Here is a 1601-nt window from a genome sequence, read left to right as displayed (position 1 = left end):
GTAAGTTCCTCTTCAAAGAGTTGAGTTGGCTTGTTCAGCTTCCTTGTTCTTTGTTCTCTGTTTTCTTTTTTTCTTTTTTTTTTTTTTGAGACAGAGTCTTACTCTGTCACTCTGTCACCTAGGCTGGAGTGCGGTGACATGATCTCGGCTCATTGCAAGCTCCGCTTCCTGGGTTCATGCCATTCTCCTGCCTCAGCCTCCCAAGTAGCTGGGAATACAGGTGCCCGCCACCACTCCCAGCTAATGTTTTTGTATTTTTAGTAGAGACGGGGTTTCACCGTGTTAGCCAGGATGGTCTCGATCTCCTGACCTCATGATCCGCCCGCCTCGGCCTCCCAAAGTGCTGAGATTACAGGTGTGAGCCACAGCGCCCGGCCTATTCTTTGTTCTCTATTTTCAAGCCTAACTTCCTCGTTCTTTATACTTCTTCTTGCCCCTAGTTACAGTAAATAACCTTCCCGCCAGCCTTAATCTGTAACTCACATCTATTTCTTATGTGCTCTGCAATTGCCCTTCCTGCCAAAACTACCCCTCCAGCCTTTGCTGCTCCCTAACACGCCCGGACATGCCTTGTACTGTAACAAACAGCCTCTCCCTTCCCACCAAGTTAGCCCTATTCAATTTTAAACAGTAGCCAATCAAGTCACCTTAGATTGTGTAGTCGGACTCCAGCCAATGGGGAAAGGACACAGCTACAGGAGCTGCTGCGTTAGGGATAAAAACCACTGCCCTACCCCACTCTGTGTGCTATTGCCATGGCCAGGAGTGTGAGCAGCACCTTCTGCAGAAGTAAATTTGCCTTACTGAGAAATCTTTTGTTCGAGTGCTGGTTTTCTTTATGACTCCGAGCTCTTATTTCTAACATTCAGTAACAACTGCTAAGCAATAACCTAATTGCCCTTTTCTCTTATCCCCAGTCTCTCACCTGAGGTCCTTTTAAGTAAAAAAATTATTATTTCTGAGGAGAAATAATTACCTGTCAAATATGAGTGACAAATTCAAACTGTAACTGGTAGGCACTGAATCCTTAGCTCAGTGTCAGTTTGGGCCTGGATTGGTTGTTTCAGAAGCTGAAATCTTGTAAGTTTCAGCCTCAAAGATTTGTGGTGTTAGCCTCCTGGTGCTCAGCACAGGATGTGTTCTTACCCTAACCAAATAGAAAGAGTAGGCTGAATTAACCTATGCCATATACACCTCAACCCAGGCCCTGCAACTCCTCTGTATTGTCAATGGGTGGACATGGAGGGGGATTAAAAAAAAAAAAAAAAAAAGAAAGGCCGAGCATGATGGCTCATGCCTGTAATCCCAGCACTTTGGGAGGCTGAGGTGGATGGATCACCTGAGGTCAGGAGTTCAAGACCAGCCTGGCCAACATGGTGAAACCCTGTCTCTACTAAAAATATGAAAATATTAGCTGGGTGTGGTGGCACGTGCCTGTAATCCCAGCTCTTTGGAAGGCTGAGGCAGGAGAATCACTTGAACCTGGGAGGCAGAGGTTGCAGTGAGCCGAGATCGTGCCACTGCACTCCAACCTGGGCGACAGAGCAAGACTCTGTCTCAAAAAAAAAAAAAAAAAAGAAAGAAAGAAAAAAATGATTGAT

General features: G+C 45.8%; 1 non-coding gene across 1 annotated transcript; it reads left to right on the top strand.

The window, feature by feature from the left end:
* The first annotated feature begins 1111 nt into the window (after nt 1-1111).
* LOC124900243 (small nucleolar RNA SNORA51) lies at nt 1112-1243 on the top strand. The gene has a single exon (XR_007060657.1). It is a non-coding gene; the product is annotated as a small nucleolar RNA SNORA51 (small nucleolar RNA).
* Nucleotides 1244-1601: the final 358 nt, after the last annotated feature.

Source organism: Homo sapiens, chromosome 7 (genome assembly GCF_000001405.40).
Source record: "Homo sapiens chromosome 7, GRCh38.p14 Primary Assembly".
Classification (NCBI taxonomy): Eukaryota; Metazoa; Chordata; class Mammalia; order Primates; family Hominidae; genus Homo; species Homo sapiens.
This window is presented reverse-complemented; position numbering and strand designations above follow the sequence as displayed.